At 37.3% G+C, this 18,614-nt stretch overlaps 1 long non-coding RNA gene across 2 annotated transcripts in view; it reads right to left on the minus strand.

Moving 5' to 3' along the window:
- Nucleotides 1–2,883: 2,883 nt before the first annotated feature.
- Nucleotides 2,884–18,614, minus strand: part of LOC105370224 (uncharacterized) — a 31,790-nt gene continuing 16,059 nt past the window's right edge. The window contains exons 4-9 of one of the 2 annotated variants that reach the window (XR_007063813.1): nt 13,931–14,003; nt 12,208–12,325; nt 9,275–9,414; nt 7,615–8,930; nt 7,107–7,244; nt 2,884–5,929 (exon numbers count right to left, since the gene is read on the minus strand). This is a non-coding gene — a long non-coding RNA (uncharacterized LOC105370224). Of the gene's footprint in view, nt 5,930–7,106; nt 9,415–12,207; nt 12,326–13,930; nt 14,004–18,614 lie in introns of both variants that reach the window. The other variant, XR_941994.3, reaches the window with a different exon arrangement.

Here is an 18,614-nt window from a genome sequence, read left to right on the forward strand (position 1 = left end):
ACTGCTATAAAGATACCCAAAAACATGGAAGCAACTTTGGAACTGGACAACAGGCAGAGGTTAGGGAATAGTTTAGAGGACTCAAAAGAAGACAGGAAAATGTTGAAAAGTTTGGAACTTCCTAGAGACTTGGAGGGCTCCGAAGACAGGAAGATGTGGGAAAGTTTGGAACTTCCTAGACGCTTGTTGAACGGCTTTGACCAAAATGCCGATAGTGATAACAACATTGAAGTCCAGGCTGAGATGGTCTCAGATGGAGATGAGGAACTTGTTGGGAACTGGAATAATGGTGACTGTTGCAATGCTTTAGCAAAGAGACTGGTGCCATTTTGCCCCTGCCCTCGAGATCTGTGGAACTTTGAATGTAAGAGAGAGAATTTAGAGCATCTGGTGGAATAAATTTCTAAGAAGCTCAAAAGGTGACCTGGGTGCTTTCAGTTTATGCATTCACAAAGAGGTGGTTTGAAATTGGAACTTATGTCTAAAACGGAAGTAGAGCACAAAGATTTGGAAAATTTGCAGCCTGAAGATGCAGTAGAAAAGAAAAACCCATTTTCTGGGGAGAAATTCAAGTCTGCTGCAGAAATATGCATAAGTAACAAGGAGACAAATGTAAATTGCCAAGACAATGGGGAAAATGTCTCCAGGGCATGTCACAGACTTTCAAGGCAGCCCTTCCTATCACAGGCCCATAGGCATCGGAGGGAAAAATGGTTTCATGGACTGGGTCCAGGTGGGGAACTTGGTGCCTTGTCTCCCAGCCATTCTACCTGTGGCTAAAAGGGGCCAAGGTACAGCTCAGGCTGTTGCTTCAGAGGGTGCAAGCCCCATACCTTGGCAGCTTCTGCATGATGTTGGGCCTGCAAGTATGCAGAAGGCAAGAATTGAGGTTTGGGAATCTCTGCCTAGATTTTAGAGGATGTATGGAAATGCCTGGATATTCAGGCAAAAGTCTGTGCAGGGGTGGAGCCCTCAGGGAAAGCCTCTGCTAGGGCAGTGTGGAAGGGAAATGTGGGGTGGGAGCCCCCACACAGAGTCCCTACTGGGACACTGCTAAGTGCAGCTTTGAGAAGAGGGCCACCATCCTCCAGACCCCAGAATGGTAGATCCACTGACAGCTTGCGCTATACGCCTGGAAAAGCTACAGACACTCAACAGCAGCCTGTGAAAGCAGCCAGGAGGGGGCCTGTACCCTGCAAAGCCACAGGGGAGAAGTTGCCCAAGACTATGCAAGCCCACCTCTTGCATCAGCATGATGTGGATGTGAGACATGGAGTCAAAGGAGATCACGTTGGAGCTTTAAGATTTAATGACTGTCCTGTTCGATTTCAGACTTGCATGAAGCCTGTGGGCCCCTTTGTTTTGGCCAATTTCTCCCTTTCTGAAAAGAAGTATTCACCCAATGCTTATACCTCCATTGCATCTAAGAAGTAACTAACTTGCTTTTGATTTTACAGGCTCGCAGGCAGAAGGGAATTACCTTGTCTTAGGTAAGATCTTGGACTTGGACTTTTGGATTAATGCTGGAATAAGACTTTAGGGGACTATGGCGAAGACATGATTGTGTTTTGAAATGTGAGCACATGAGATTTGGGAGGGGCCAAGAATGAAATGATATGGTTAGGCTTTGTGTCCCTACCCAAATCTCATCTTGAATCATAATCCCCATAGATCCCAAGTGTCAAGGGATGAACCTAGGGGGAGGTGATTGGATCAAGGGGGTTGTTTCCCCCATGTTGTTCTCATGATAATGAGTTCATTCTCATGAGATCTGATGGTTTTACCAGGGGTTCTTCCCCCTTCACTCTCTGCTCACTCCATCCTGCCACCCTGTGAAGAAGGTGCCTGCTTCTCCTTGTCTTCTGCCAGGACTGTAAGTTTCCTGAGGCCTTCTCCAGTCATGCAGAACTGTGAGTCAATTAAACCTCTTTCCTTTATACATCAATCAAACAGTGTCAGGTATTTCTTCATAGCAGTGTGAAAATGGATTAATATACCCCCTTATCATTCATGATGCACTCAAAGTGTTTCAATTATTAGCTTCTTATTTTTCTCTCAATTAAAATGTGAGCACCAATTTTTCTTTTAATATCTAATTAATTTACTAGTGTTAATTATGTTGCCCAGAGTATTATATTCAATATATTATTGCTGAAAAGTAAATTTTCCCTAGTCATTTGTCTTTCTTATTCTTTAATTTTTGTTAAAAAGTAACTAAAATGTTATAATAACTAGGTTAACGATACCTGATCTACCTGCAGAAATGCTACTTACTTGACTTCATATATACCAAAACAAAATCTTACCAATACAAATCTCATATATGCATGGAGTTAGGAATTCCAATTCAGGAAAGTAGGTAAGTTGAATTCTTATCCCATTCTATCATAATAATTCCAGTTATAGAAACACTATCTGATTTCCAGAGCACTGAAATGAAGATTACCAAAAACTTTGCCTCATTCCAAGCTGCACTAAAGGTTGAGAGGGTGTTTCTCCAGAGAATGGTGACTCGATGTACTAAAATTGAATCTGACCTTGGAGATTTCTTTGATTTGTAAGAACATTTATCTTTTACCTATTAATTTTGCAAGTTTAAATGGTAATAACTGTAAAGTGTGGTAAAATTTCTCTTTTTAAAAAAGATATATTTCACAGTAAAATTTGTCTATCATCTTGCTTCACCCTTTTTCCAAATTTCTATACCAAAAAACATTCTAATTTTTGTTTTGTTTTCTTTGGGTTAATATAAATGGCGACAATCTCTAACTCATTGTTTAGGAAAAGGAGGACGCTGTCATAAGGAAGATGCTTTTAATAAGTAACTCCCTTATTCCAAAAAATGATGTTCCAAAGAAATAAAGTGAGGAAGAGGAAACCAGATAGTATGGAAAATCCTTCTTTAATGTGGACAAATAAAGCAGCCAGACAGAAACAGGAAAGCAAAACATAATTAAGGTGGTCCACAAATTATGTTTCTGTTGACATAAACAACTTGAGGTCAAGACTCAAATTTACTGATTGTTTTCTATAAATAATTTTCCTTATGTTTCTTCCTCCTTTTTCATCCTGTGACCACACAAATCTCACCCTAAACACATTCTCCTATAAAATTCTGCCCCCTCCAATGAAAAACAAATCTATTTATGTAACGAATCCTGTAATTCAATTTGCTGTCCTTAAAGATTCTTTGAAGAAAGGAAAAGTTTGCTTTACATTCCCACTTGCTCTCTGAGAAAAACAGAAGTGTCTTAAATAAATTAATTCACTTTCACCATATATGTTCAGGGCTTTGTGTTCATGTGCAAAGCTAACCTCCACAATAACACTTATTTTGCAGTAATAGAAGGACAACATGGAATATGAAGTTTTTTCAGTGACATCTTTTAGGGAAAGTGTAGTAGTACTGAATTTGGTAAAAAACTTCCTCCAAATATTCTTGGGCACTCCCATCATTAAACTTTTTTTTGTTTATTAATTAATTAAGCAATAGTCTTAATTGTTAATTAAGCAATAGTCAACTGCTAGATAGAAAATTTCTCATGTGCAAAAATAACCACCTAGACAATTTTCTGATAAATAGTCAAAATGCCCTTTGAGATGCCTTGTTGATCCTACTATTTTCATTTAAAGATAGAGGGGTAATGAGCCTGACTAAAAAACACTCAGAATCTTCAATCCCCAATTTCTTAAAGAAGTAATTCTCTCAGCAGCCTCTGAAAAATAAACTAAATAGAACTGACACAATCAAGAAAGAAGAGGACATATATTTCAACACGTAATGTGTATGTAACATTTATGTATCTGTCTGTCACTAAGAAAACTAAAAAAGTAAAAATATCCACAAAATAAATAAACCTCAGCCATAGATTTACATTAAACCCTTCTGTTTTTCCACTGACAATTATTTATGTATACATTAATTCACTGTCTTAATAGGTTCAGGTGTTTGTTTGTATTCATGCATAAAACTACGTTAATTGAGGTTTGAAATCACTATATTTGATAATGTGGATCTTTGAAGTTTCTGTGATACATATTATCATAAGCTTTAATTTTCTAAGGCTAAAATCTTTACAGCATGACCTCAGAGAGATCTTGCAACACATCTTAATGACAGCAAGGGTAAAGGTAGTATCTTTCAGAAATGGGGGAAAAAAAGGAAAAAGTAGGATAGCCCTAATTGTTCAGATCTCTTTGAAGATAGATAATGGCTAAGCCCATTAATTGCTTTTAAAATAAAGCAAATTTGTGGAGAGAGAAAAAGTGTGACACATCATGTAAACAGATACTCTCACTTTTTGACACTGGTGTTATAACCCCAAATACATGGATACTCTTTGGATTGGAATAAAGGGCACAGCATTACACAAAAATCTAAATCCCTCATAAGATAGTAATTTACTAGGGATTAATTAAATTCTAAGAAACATAAAACCCTGCTTATTTATAGACTAGATCTGAACTAAAATGAGGTTTTGGGGTTTTTCTTGTTTTATTGGTTGGTTTGGTTTTAAGAAAGAAAGAGAGAGAGAGAAAGAAGAAAGAAAGAAAGAGAAAGAAAGAAAGAAAAAGAAATAAAGAATGAAAGAAACAAAGAAAGATCCAACCAAATGTGTTAGGAACTAATCTAAAACTGTTTTTCTTGAAAAACAACCATTTCCTTTGAATAATGATAAATATCAATAATTTTCTTTCCCTTTTAATGAAAAATTAGCACATTCAGAATTTTCTTTAAATTTCCATGCAGTACCCATAAACATGTATATATTTATATTGTACTTTCTTGGGGAGGTACTTACTCCACCACCATGCTTCCACATCTCATTCTTTTATTTCTTTTATTTTTCTTGTCTCTATTTTAAATTTTCTTCTTTTTTTTTTAACTTGTTTATTTATCCATCTCCCTCCCCCAGGAATGTACAGACTACAAATGTAGGACTACATCCAGCATCTTAAATTCTGTATCCCCAAAGGCCTATTATGTGCATGGCACAGTAGTAATGCAGTGAATGATTTAAATCTCCTTTTACCGTATTCACTTTCTGATTTCAAAACTGTCTTTTGTGATGATATCATGATGATTTTCTGCATGAAATTAAATGTGCTTTCAATGTCCTAATGTGCACTCAGATATACAAACCAAGGTTCTTGAATTCTTTTCATTCTTGGTGTTTTTCCTTTATGAAGTTTCCTGTGTAGGGCCTGGAATGAAATTCATTGGCTGTGACAGGCTCTAATAACAACACCAGCCCTCTTCCAACAGCAACCAGGCTGACGACTGCGGGAGGGACATATGTGCCCTCATGCAGGGAAGATTTCTTCCTAACCTTCCACTACAATCAATACAGAGAAATAGGCAGGGCTGCTAACATCAGGCTCCATTAAGATGACTCTTTCTACCCTCCTGATCTTTAGACCCCAAGAGAAGTGCGAAGAAAAAAAGAGAATAAGAAAGGATGGATGAGAGAAAATAAGATTGAGGAAAGGGGGCGTGGTAGTTTTTCCCTAAACCATCAATTGCCAAGGTTACTTTTGGCAGCGAGAAAAAGAGAAAGGGGCAGAATGTGCCTGTCTGAAGCTTTTGTACTTCTGCCCAGACTGTGGGGAAAATGATGGGATTAAATAAAAATGCCAGCGATAACAAAAAGGAAATCTTCCCAATAGTTTTCCTTGCCTGAAGAATGAACTGCTTGAAGCTATGACCTCCCTGCCTGTCTCAATGAGGTCAAGAAACTGACTGTCACTCCTACATTTGTGATTAATGATGCTCCCGCTGGTGACGTATTTCTAACCACAGTCTCTGGAGAGCAGCAAGACTCAGTTGCCTTGTGGTGTGTTGAGTCATTGCTCTGGCAAAAGATCTGTTTGCTCCAGCAACAGGCTTAGCTTTCAACAAGGCGTCCTCTTGATTCTTTGCTGCAACATCCTATCATGAAAGAACAGAGAGCCCAGTACAAAGAAGGACTGCTAAGAAGGATGAAACATTAAATTAATTTAAAAAAAGCTTTTGTACTGAATGGCAAAATGCAGCATAATGAATAATTAAACAATTAATAATGTAATCCTCTTAAAAGCACACAGCCACTATGGGAGAAGATTAAGTGTTTAACAGTTTCCAGTATAATGCAAATGGTAAGGAGGAGCCTTTCTTCCCCACTTTTTAGGGTAATAGAATTGAAAGCACATTTCCGGATTTTAATTAAATACTATTAAATTTTCAGTATTAAGCCAGCAACAACAGTGCTGCAATATGGAAGGATTATTAAATACAAAGGTAAGTACACAGTAGCAAGACGTTAACATTTCTTGGTTCTGTTTTTATAAAAAGAGGTTACTTGAAAGGGTGCATTCTACTTCTAAGCTACTATGGTGCACATCACCAAACATCAAGCTAAATGCTAATCTGTGTAAGTGACTATAAGATTGAGATTTAGATTAATGTACTTCAATGACAGTCCAATCGTGGGGGAAAAAAAAAAAAACTAGAAAAACAACATAGAATAGTTGCAGAGGTTTGCAACAAAATAATTGATATATCCAAATTCTATTACATTCTCAAACCAACAATTAATATTCTCTATCACATAGCACCTGGGCTGCTACAATTATATTTGCACTAATTCCTAAAGTATCACAGGTGTGGGTTGCCTTAACTCTGTGTCCCTAGAAGCAGAACATGACAGAAGGATTAAGAAAGTTCTTCCAGGTGAAACAGTGAGGCAGTGAAGGAGACACCAAAGGTGTGATTTCAAATGAACTTCAGCTAGCCTGATCATGCAGAGCCTTCTGGAGCATACATTATGCCACAGAGTTTGCACTGGTAAGGGACTCCAGCAGCCCAAAGTCATCCTTTGAAGAAGGAGGAGGACATACAGAAACAGTACTGGGCAGTATAAAGAATTCCAGGGATCCAAGCAGAGCACCAGCAGTATCTCTACAGAGTTGTAGTAAAGAAAGATTCTGAGGCTGGGCATGGTGGCTCAGACCTGTAATCCCAGCACTTTGGGAGGCCAAAGCAGGAAGATCACTTGAAGCTAGGAATTCGAGACAGCCTGGGCAAGTTAAGGAGATCCTGTCTCTACAAAAAAATAAAAACAAATTACCTGGGCATGTTGATATCCACCTGTAGTCCCAGCTACTCGAGAGACTGAGGCTGGAGGATTGCTTGAGCCCAGGCGTTCAATGCTGCAGTGAGCTATAATTGCGTCACTGCACTCCAGCCTGGGTGACAGAGCAAGATCCTGTTTTTTAAAAAAATAAAGAAAAAGAATAAAATAAAAATCTCAAATTAATTCAGGAACAGAAAACTAAATACTACATATTCTCACTTATAAGTGGGAGCTAAATATTGAGTACAAATGGACATAAAGATGGGAACAATAGACACTGGGGACTCCTAGAGGGGAAAGGGTGAGAGCGGGGCAAGGGCTAAAAAACTTCCTGTTTGCCCCCTGAATCTAAAATGAAAGTTGAAAAAAAATGAAAGATCTTTGCTTATAATTATTCTTGAACTCATTTAGCTGTATAGTTGACTACAGTTTAAGTTAAAAATGCCAATTAGGCCCAGTACTCTGCATGATCAGGCTAGATGAGGTTCATTTGAAATCACACCCTTGTTTGTTGTCGTCTTCTTCCACTCCGTCACTGTTGCTCCCGGAGGAACTTCCTTAATCCTTCTCTCATGTTCTGTTTCTAGGGACACCGAGTTAAGAGAACACGTTCCTGTGATACTTTAGGAATTAGTGCAAATGTAATCAGAGGACCACAGGTGCTATGTTACAGGAAATATTCTATTTGCCTCCACTCCCCATGGCTAGCATGTACATGAAAATTTATCCCCAGACCCAAACGGGGCTTCAAGCAGAAGCAATTTTTGGAACTACAGGTTGTCTCTCCCTCATTCAAAATACTTGGGGACAGAAGTGTTTGGACTTTGAATGCTTTTGGATTTTGGAATATTTGTACATACATAATGAGATATCTGGGGCTTGGGGCCCTAGTCTAAACATAAAATTCACTTATGTTTCACATGCACCTTATATTCATAGCCTAAAGGTAATTTTATACAATATTGTAAATAATTTTGCACATGAAACGAAGTTGTGTTAAGTAGTTATGTGTGGAATTTTTCAATTGTGGCATCATGTTGGTGCTCAAAAGTCTTGGATTTTGGAGCATTTCAGATTTTGGATTTGTAGATTGGGGATGTTCAAGCTGTTTTGCCTGACCCTATGGAAGCTGGGCTTAAGTAACCTTATGTCCTGTTCTGAGAACTAAGATACATACCTGAAGCTCAACCCCACCTGCACTCCTGTAACGTTTCCCCTTTGTTTAGGATTCCAGTGTGTTGCTTAGATCTCAGTCCTGCTAAGAAAAGATACTATGTTTCACTCTTGCCATTCCTCCTCTGAACTTTGACTCTCAATCCAGACTTAAGACCTTACCATTTCCCATTTGGTTACTTCCCTTGAAGTCTCAGGGGATGTGCTCCACATATAAGTTACTGAGAATCCATCATCCAAAATTGTTGCTGCTTTCTGCTGTTATGGCCTCCAGCTTTTGATTCCACATTTCAAATTCCCTTTCCTCCTGTCTCTGTAGGTGGAGCTATATGGGTCTCTTCAGATTTTCCTTTTGTGTCTTATCTGGTAGCAGTGATCTGGGCCCTATATAACTACATCTTAGAAGATAATACCTGTTATGGTTCTAAAGATACCCGATTAGAAAAAATAATAATAACACACTCTTGAAGTTATTCAATAAGCAATTATAGGGGGACTTCTCGAAGGAGATCCAAATAAAAAAAAATTCATAAAGTACTCCAATGTAAAATGATAGCTTAGATACTTGAAACAAGGTTTGCTTTTTAAATTTTCACTCTAGGGAGTAATTCCTCGGACTACACCAGACTTGGGAGAGAAGTTGACCTGGAAATGAAAAGTAGCACTCATGATATGCAAATTTTAACCATAGAACATAATGACAACTTAAATTATTTAACCTTGAAGATGTGGACACATAAACAAAGGCCAAGGATCAGGTGAAAGCCTGAGCCAAGTAAACTAATAACAGTTAATTTTAAAATAATGTTTAAGAAGCACAGTTCAATTAATTGGTATTACTTGGTTTGTTCGCAATAATAAAAAGACAGTTAAATTTTATATTAGTGTAAACACATTTTAACATATAAAACACAAGTTTTGGAACTGCCTGGGAATATTTCATATTTGTTTTTAAAAGTTCATCCTAAAGTAAGGTCCATAGATCTTACATTTTCCTTCTCCACCAGGTAGGGCAGGGTTGCTTCATATCATCAGTACAGAGTTCAAGCCCACTAAGTTAAGGCAAAATCTCATCTTCAGCAGGTATTTGAGGTCCAGAAGATGATGGGCAAGATGAAAAACCTGATCACTGCAGAAAAAAAGAATCAGAAGTACAGCCAGGACCAGATGCTGAAGAAGATCAATTTGATGTGGATTCATAGACTCTATGGGATAAATCAGGCAACAAAGCCAGTGGGAATTAAGAAGCAGGCAGAAGCAGAGCCAGGAGGTACACAGCTGATTTAGCATCTTTATAGCTATGAGTTTTCTTTTAAGCTCATTCCCCTCTAAGATACATCTATTGGTTTTGAAGTTACTGCTCCCTGAGACCAATCTCAATGGCGTTCTTGAACTTGAAATCAAAAAGATCTGCATCCTCCTTCCAGCTCTGACAAGTATTAGCTGCATAAACCTAGACAAAATATTTATATTATTTGAATTATAATGGGCAACATAATATCTCACTCAGAAATATTATGAAGATTAAATAAAATATTGAGTGTCAGCTACACAGCACACTGTAGGCTCTTCATGATGTTATCCCCTCCCTGTGCATTCATGCTTACAACACCCTTGAAGCCCTCTGGAATAGAAAGTATCCAGGTTTCATGTTGTGGTGATAGGGGAAAATGGTCATATGATAGAGGTGTTATTACACCGGTGGAAAGTGTGATGCCAGATAAGCCACTTAAAGATGCAACCCGTTCCTAACTTAGCAAGTACTGAGACCAGCTTCAGTGCCAGCAAAGTTTAATACCCATTCCCATGAGCATGGGACCCAGCAGGGTCAAATGTAAGATGAGTTCCTCTAAGTCGGGGTGAAGGAGAACTCATGCTATACAAAGCTTTCATGGAGAAGACTAGGAGCAGGAGATACAAAGTGTGCAAGTCAATCATGACTGTTAATAATAAGCATATATATATACATGCACACACACATATAGATATGAAACTAAGCACCTGCCATGTGCCAGAGTCTGTGCTGGGAGTTTTACGTCTCATTCATTCTCATAATTCCTGCACGGTAAGTATTAATATTGCCATTTTATAGATGGGGACATTGATCTTCAAAGAGGTAAAATAACTTGTCCAAATTACACAGCCAGCAAGTAATAGTAACGAATCTGTTCAACTCTGTATGCTTGGATCTTATTTTTGATTCATTGATTTATTTCGGAGGCTGAAATAATGTGGGGATTTTGATATGGTTCTTCCGCTACAGGGACCTGCTACCAGTTAACCAGAGATTTAACCTGAAATTTTGATTGCTGTTGTATAGGCCCCTCCAAATTTAACTAGGTAATAATTGATAATGAACACAACAGTGAAGCAGCTGAGTGTGGGGAGAATATGGGGGAAAAATTATCCTAGATGTCATATGTATACATAAGATACATACTTTGGCATCAGAAAATTTCTCTGGATTTAGAAGATTTATTTACCATGGAGAATACATTTCTAGAGTAGGGAAAGTACTAAAGAACAAATATATATTGCATGGGAAACAAGAAAGTTTCCCTTGTCCCCCTGGAGGACAAGGTGTGTGATGGGGGTGTGGTTCATTGAAGTGCCCCTGCTGCTCAAACCTCTAGGGGAGCATATAGAAGGGCAGGTTCCAACCCCACCGCAGTGTCTAGGGGTAAATGTGTACAGCTCCTGAAGCCCCAGTGGGCGTGTGTCACAGGGTACCCTTTTAGTTTACCTGTCCCTAGGCAGCTTGTGTTAGTCAGTTCAATTAGACCCCTGCCTTATGGCAATGACAAAGGCCTTTCTATATCCTGGGATTCTTGCCTTGATATATCAGAAGTATCAGATCACGTGTGGGCTTGGAGAATGAATGCAAGGTTTTATTGAGTGGCAGTAGCTCTCAGCAGATGGGGGAGCCAGAAGAGAGATGGTTTTCCCCCGGAGTCAGGCCACTGGGAGTTTCAGCTTTACTCAGAGTTCCAACTTTTCTCCAAACCATGCCTCCCCCGCAAATCCGCATCATTCTGCTCCTTGATGGCATGCCAGCGTGCCGGTGTGCTCCCACGCCAGTGCATCCCTCTCAACGTCCAGCCCTGTGTGTTCCTCTGCTGATGTGTTCCTTTCAATGTCCAGCCACCTCTGTGTCTGCCCGCTGGGGTCTCGGGTTTTTATGGACACACGACGGGGGCACGGCAGGCCAGGGTGGTCTTGGGAAATGCAACATTTGGGCAGGAAAACAAAAATGCCTGTCTTCACCTAGGTCCATGGGCACCGGCCCAGGGGTGGAGCCCTAGCCAGGGACCACACCCTCCTCTACCCAGCACTTCCCTTCCCCTCTTCCATATTGTTTAAAGGGACCAGCCCTTCCCTTCCCAGCACTTCAGTATCACATAGAGGAAGTAACTTCCAAAAGTTCTAATGATGTTATTGTACTTTAATGTTCAGCATATAATATTATAATCCTCTATCTCTGTCCAAAATTTTCAATGCAGTCTCAATTTCTTTTTATTTGTCTAAAAAATGTAATTCCAATTTCTAATGATAACTGGTGAAAAAACCTAATTTGCTTGTAAGGAACTATTTTTCCAATTAAGTTTGCTGGCATTCATCTACATGCTAATGAAACATGAAAGTTCAGTTCTCAACATGTAACTACCCCATATTGACATTTGAAACCATTTTAAAGAAAAAGGGTATCATATTTGGATGTGAAGAGAATTGGAATAGGTGTGAAAAGGCTAAGACGTCAGAGCTTCTTTTCTTAAGAAAATTAGCATTATTGATATTCACTCTTTAAAGAAAGAACGGCAGAAGATGAGTCATGAAATGCAATCTGTGCATCAGATACCACCAAGAGATTTGCAGCCAGCTTAAGTAAACCAATTTGAATAAGGTCAGAAGTGCAAGCACATACCTGTAATCCCAGCATTTTAGGAGGCCGAAGAGGGAGGATCACTTGAGCCCAGGAGTTAGAGGCTACAGTGAGCTATGATCTTGCATCTGCACTACAGCCTGGGCAACAGAGCAAGACCCTGTCTCAAAAATAAAATAAAATAAAAAATCTGTTATCACATCTGAATTAGACTAGGCTCCTCAAATTTCAGCCAAAGTGAAAAATCCAGGAAATAATATTACTAGTCAAGGATGTGGATATTTTTGCCCAGTAGAACTGATTAAATTTTTCCCTGAGGAAAGACTGAGGTTAAGAGAAGACTAACACTTTGAGGCAGGTAACATAAATAACAAATTTATTCAAGTAGCACTCTTTGTTAAGGACTGTGATCTGTTTGCACCAGTGCCCAGGTGTGGATGCTGTCATGTGTGGGGCCCCAAAAGCATGGCATCCGCAGGGGCAGAGGGCAGAGAGCCAGGGGAAGAGCAGCCAGCGGGAGAAAAGCCCGTTGTTTCTCTCCATCCAGCTGTTACTCACTTTCTCCGCCTAAACACAAAACTCACGTAATGGCTGTTGAATTCCTTTTTGAATGACAGTATAGATACTTCAATCTCAGCTAAATCTCATTTTATGCTCATTTTACTTTGCTGCAGCATTTTTTGTCTTCCATGCTGCATTTTTCTTGAACAATCACCAAACTGGCAGACTCTGACTAGCTTGTCAGAAAGGAAAAGGAATTTATGTTTCATAGGAGATTAATCCAATCAGTGGAACATTTATGAGAAGCCAAGCCAGACTTGTTTACAAATGAACAATACCTGAAGGGAGAGATTTTAATCTCATTATAATATGACCTTCCAAAGATTAGGACACAACTGTTTAATTCTCCTTGTTAACTCATTGTGTTTAAAGTTTACTGTGTCTTATGGTTATCAGGGAAAAAAAGGAAACTAAAAATCACCTTATTCTAATAAAATAGGAAGTGAGAGGAGATAAACCAATAATAACCTTTAATACTGTGATGAAAAAAGCCTTCCATAAAACAAGGATAAACAACGTTGCAGTCTAATTTACCTCTGCATAAAATGTAAACTAGAACTCAATGTGCAATAAAATATTAGTATCTTTACCGCCAGCATAATCTTAACTAATCATTTCTTATGTTATTTCTGTAGTTACAGTAAGTCATCTGCATGAAATTTGACTGAATAAGGTTAGCCCAGAAACTGAAAGTACTGGGGCTTTCCTCTTTTTCCATTTCATAAAATCTTTTTCCATTAATGTTCTCACACATTTCTAAGCTATCCCCAAACTGGATCAGCCTCTACTCTTTTCAGAATGTCACCAACCCAAAACAGTTTTCTTCTTAACAATCCCCTTCTTTGTAATACATAAACACATTCTTCAGGGGCACTGTAATTATCCAAAATGAGCTTTAGTACTACAAATTACTTCAGCACTCCTATGATTTATCTGTAGTAAACATACTTTGTAATATTTATATTCCCATTAAAACTGCCACTAATAATGAATCGACAGTACGTAAACATTTATATGATAGGGCACGGACAAATACCAGATGCCCCTATAATAGTTACATTCCTTGCTCTTCCTATCATGTTGGGAAAAACCAAGCCTTGGCATTTCACCATGTTTATGAAAATACCTTTGAAAATGGCTCAGCACATTGCACTTCACATTTGCAACCATTTCCTTTAAAAAGATGGCATTCGTCCGTACTTACGAGGTCTGGGTTATTGCATTTCCATATTATGCATCATTACTCCGAGTAGGTGTCTTATCAGCAGCTCCAGTTGCTGTGGAGAAGATTGGAATTAAGCACTGGAAGCTTTTTATTTATTTTACATGCTTTATTCCTACAAGATTTTCTGCATATAAGCTCCTTTGTTCAGCTGAGAATTGGATACATTGCCAAGGCATTGTAAAATTTACATCTTGCTTTTTCTCCTGTATTCTTTCCAAAATTGGATTGAAAACAAAGTATAGTTTTTAATTAAAGCTCTGACCGACAACAGACATTTTTTCCCCTCAAGCATTGGCATTCTTGATCAGTGGTGAGGTTTCGTAAAAGCCTAATAGAAGATGTTCACTACTTAACCACAATCAGCCTTAAGCAGTTTATATTTCAGTTAAAATCTGGGATATTCCTGACGATATTAATTTAAAGATAACTGTCACTAAAGTTGATCCAAATATAATCAACAAGACCATGGACAAATCTGAAACAAATTCACCTTTCCTTTTTAGCATCATGTAGTCCAAAGTGATGTTCCTGCTGACTTCAATAGAGAAAAACTGAAAGAGAAGTCTGCTATTTTTTCAAGCAGTTTCAGAATAGACTTCTGATTACTATTTTATTACTTGGATCAATCTATCATGGCTTATTTTATCCTGAAGTGGAATCCAAAAGTCATCATTTTTTGGCCTTCAAAATGTCTTAATGACTTAAATATCCTCAGTAAGTCCAGTAGTAGCCAAATCATCTGAACACAGGTTTAACAAATCTGAAGATCATAGTAAACCTTGTTATGTGATTTAAGGCTAAGCTGGTCAAGCAATCAGTAGCTCTGTCTTCCCATTTGTAAAGTGAAATTGGCAAACACTCTTCCTACCTGGGAAAAATGTGTCCTTCTTTACGGAAGTTTTGGGTCCTTTGCCTTCTGTAACACCGTGAATTTCCTCTCTCTCCCTGGGCTATCTGCCTCCAGCACCCAACATTTAGATCCTGAAATTCTTCAGGGCTCAGTCATAGCTCTTTATATTCTCTTGCCATACTTTCACCTGAGGTGATCTCATCCATTTTTCAGAACTTTGAAAACACCTAGCTAATGATACCTAAATTTTTATGTTCATTGCAGGGCTTCACTGAGATCCACACTTTTTTTTTTTTTTTTTGAGACGGAGTCTAGCTCTGTCACCCAGGCTGGAGTGCAATGGCACAATCTCGGCTCACTGCAAGCTCCACCTCCCAGGTTTCAGCTATTCTCCAGATTTATCTATGCAAGACTAGATTATTACATTTCTCCCTAAAGGTAAATAAGGTATTTTCTTCATGCCAAATGAAATTGCTGCTACAAAAGAAGGTTGAGATGAAAAAAGAAATGAAGAAAAAATAAAGTGGTAAATTTGTAGGCAGCTCTAAGTAAGTATTAACTGTATAAAACAATATGTTTAAGAATTTATAAAGATAGTGAATATGACAAAAATATCAGTTACCACATTAAATATAAATAAATAATGATAAAAGAATCACCAAGAAAGTTTAAACAGTTTAAAATACACATCCACTCAATTACATGACCTCAAAATGCATAATTTTATAAAATAATAAAATTATAAGAAGAACCCAAATGCACAGTCAGTGGCAGTTTGCATATATAAATTCAAGAAGGATACAGAGAAAGAAAGATTTAATAAATATTATAGCCCCCAAATGCAAAAATATAAAAATTGGACAGTATCCTATGCCATAAAACAAGTACAAATAAATTAATTAAAAAGGTATATGTTTTTAACAACTATTAACAATCAAAATATACCTAGAAAATTACTATATGTTTGGACATTATAAAAACACATCGAAAGGAAATCATGGGAGAAAAAAGAAAGTATACTAAACTGAATGATAATGAAAATACTACATATTAAAATTTGAAAAGTACAGCATGTAAAATGTATAGCCTTAGAAGCACACATTCAAAAGAAAAGATGGCTTAAAAGTAATGCTTTAAGCATCTGTCTTGAGAAATTACAAAAGAACAGCAAAAAAGAAAGTAAAAAGAAGAAACCATTAAAGAAAGAGCATTGATGAATGAGGATGAAACTAATAATTAAATATAATAGAGAAGACAAAGCCAAAACTGGGAGGCTAGTAACATTTATATATATATATACACACACACACATATATTTTTTTTTCAAGAGAATAATTAAGAAGAGAAAATTAACTTACATCAGGAATAAAACAGGAGATTCTATAGATATTACAAAGATAATAACTGTATGTAATAACTTTATTCCAATAAATTGAGAAATTCAGAAGAAACTGTCCAGAAAATTTCTAGAAAACGACCACTTATAAATTTGACAAAAGATATAATAAAAAACTGAGATAAACATAAAGAAACTGAAACAGCAATATAAAACTTCCTCCAAAATAATGTTTAGGTTCAAACATCTTTACTAACAGGCACAATGAAAAATTAATATCAATCCTACATATTTCCAGAGAACGACAAAATAAGATAAACTCTAATACATGGTATCAGACTGGATTTTCTTGATACCAAAAACCAATCAAGAGAGTATGACAAGGGAAACATACAGTCCAATCTCATTATGAACATAGACCCCAAAATTCTTAAAAATGTAAACCCAGCAGTTGGTAAAAAGACTTCATCATAAGCAAGTTGGTTTATACTAGAAATTCAGGTTAGCTTAACATTAGAAAGGCAATGTAATTGGTCATATTAAGAATAAAATAAAAAAATAGGTTTCAACTCATTGATACATAAAAAGCATTTGATGAGTTTTAAAATCCATTCCTGATAAAAGTTAAAAATAAAAACTCATGGAAAACTAGAACTAGAATGGAGCTTCCTCAATCTGATAAAGGCTAATTACAAATTTAAAAAAAAATCCACTGCAAGCATCTTATCTAATGGTGAGATTTTCAAAGCTTTCCTTTGAAGTCAAGGATGTCAAATATCATCACTTCACTTCAATCTTGTACTGAAGGGCCTTGATAGCACTGAAAGGCAAGAAAGAGAAATGAAAGGTATAATGATTAGGAAAGGAAAATTAAGATTGTCATTATTCTCAGTTAACATAATTTCATTTGTAGAAAATCTAACAGAATCTACAGATTAATTAGAAGTATTTTGTAGCAAGGTTGCAGAAAAACATCAGTTATATTTATATGCCAGTATCAAACACTTAGAAAATAGATTTTTTAAAGTCACCATTTCATTGGGGAAACTTTAAGGTCATCAGTCTAGGCAAAGAATTATTGAGTAATACCCCAAAAGCACAGGCAACCAAAGCAAAATTGTACAAATGGGATCATATCAAGTTAAAAAGCTTCCACAAAAGAGAAAATCAACAAAGTGAAGAGACAACCCAGGGGATTAATAACCACAATATAGAAGGAACTCAAACAATTCAATAGGAAAAATAAAATATAATAATCCAATAAAAAAAATGGACAAAGGATCTGAATAGAAATTTCTCAAAAGAAGACATACATATGGTAAACAAATATATGAAAAGGTGCTCAATATCATTGACCATCAGAGAACTGCAAATCAAGGCTACTATGAGATATCAACTCATCTCACTTAACATGACTTTTAGGCAATAACGAATGCTGACGAGGATATGGGGAAAAGGCAACCCTCGTACACTGTTGGGAATGTAAATTAGTACAGCCACTGTGGAGAAAAGTATGGAGGTTCCTCAGAAAACTAAAAATAGAACGACCAGGGCCAGGCATGGTGGTTCCCACCTGTAATCCCAGCACTATGGGAGGCTGAGGCAGGAGGATTATTAGAGGTGAGGAGTTCAAGACCAGTTTGGCAAACATGGTAAAACTCTGTCTCTATTAAAGATAGAAAAAAAAAATTAGCCGGGTATGGTGGTGCACACCTGTAATCCCAGCTACTCAGGAGGCTGAGGCACAACAATTGTTTGAACCCAGGAGCCAGAGGTTGCAGTGAGCCAAGACTGCACCACTGCACTACAGCATGGGTGACAGAGCGAGACACCCCAAAAAAAAAAAAAAAAAAAAAAAAAGAACTACCATATGATCCAGCAATCCCACACCTAGCTATATACTCAAAAGAAAGGAAATCAGTATATCAAAGAAATACGTGCACACCCAGGTTTACTGCAGCACTATTCATGATAGCCAAGATTTGGAAACAATTTCCAATTTCTGTAATAATGACCCAGTGAGAGCCAACACCTAAAATCAGTAACGAACTTATACGCAGAGTATATTAAAACTTCCATAATCAACAATAAAGAGCCTGAAAACCCAATAGAAAAATGGGCCAATGACTCCAACAGGCTCTTCAAAGAAAATAAAATGCAAATGGACAACAAATGTGAAAAAGTGCTCGAACTTATTTATAAGCAGGAAAATGTAAAAAAAAAAAAAAAAAAAAAAAAAAAAACAGTGACAAACTACTACATACTCACCAGATTCAGGGGGGAAGACTAAAAATAACATTGTCAAAGCAGTGAAGTGATGGGTTTCTCTTACATGCTGTTGGAATTGTAGATTAGAACAATCACTTTCAGAAACACTTTTAGATTATCTACAAAAGCTGGAAATTGACCCAGAAATTCAAATTCTAGGCTTATTCCCAAGAAAACTCAGACATGTGCACCTGGATACCTACAAAAGA

The sequence above is a fragment of the Homo sapiens genome, chromosome 13 (assembly GCF_000001405.40).
Source record: "Homo sapiens chromosome 13, GRCh38.p14 Primary Assembly".
NCBI classification, from domain to species: Eukaryota; Metazoa; Chordata; class Mammalia; order Primates; family Hominidae; genus Homo; species Homo sapiens.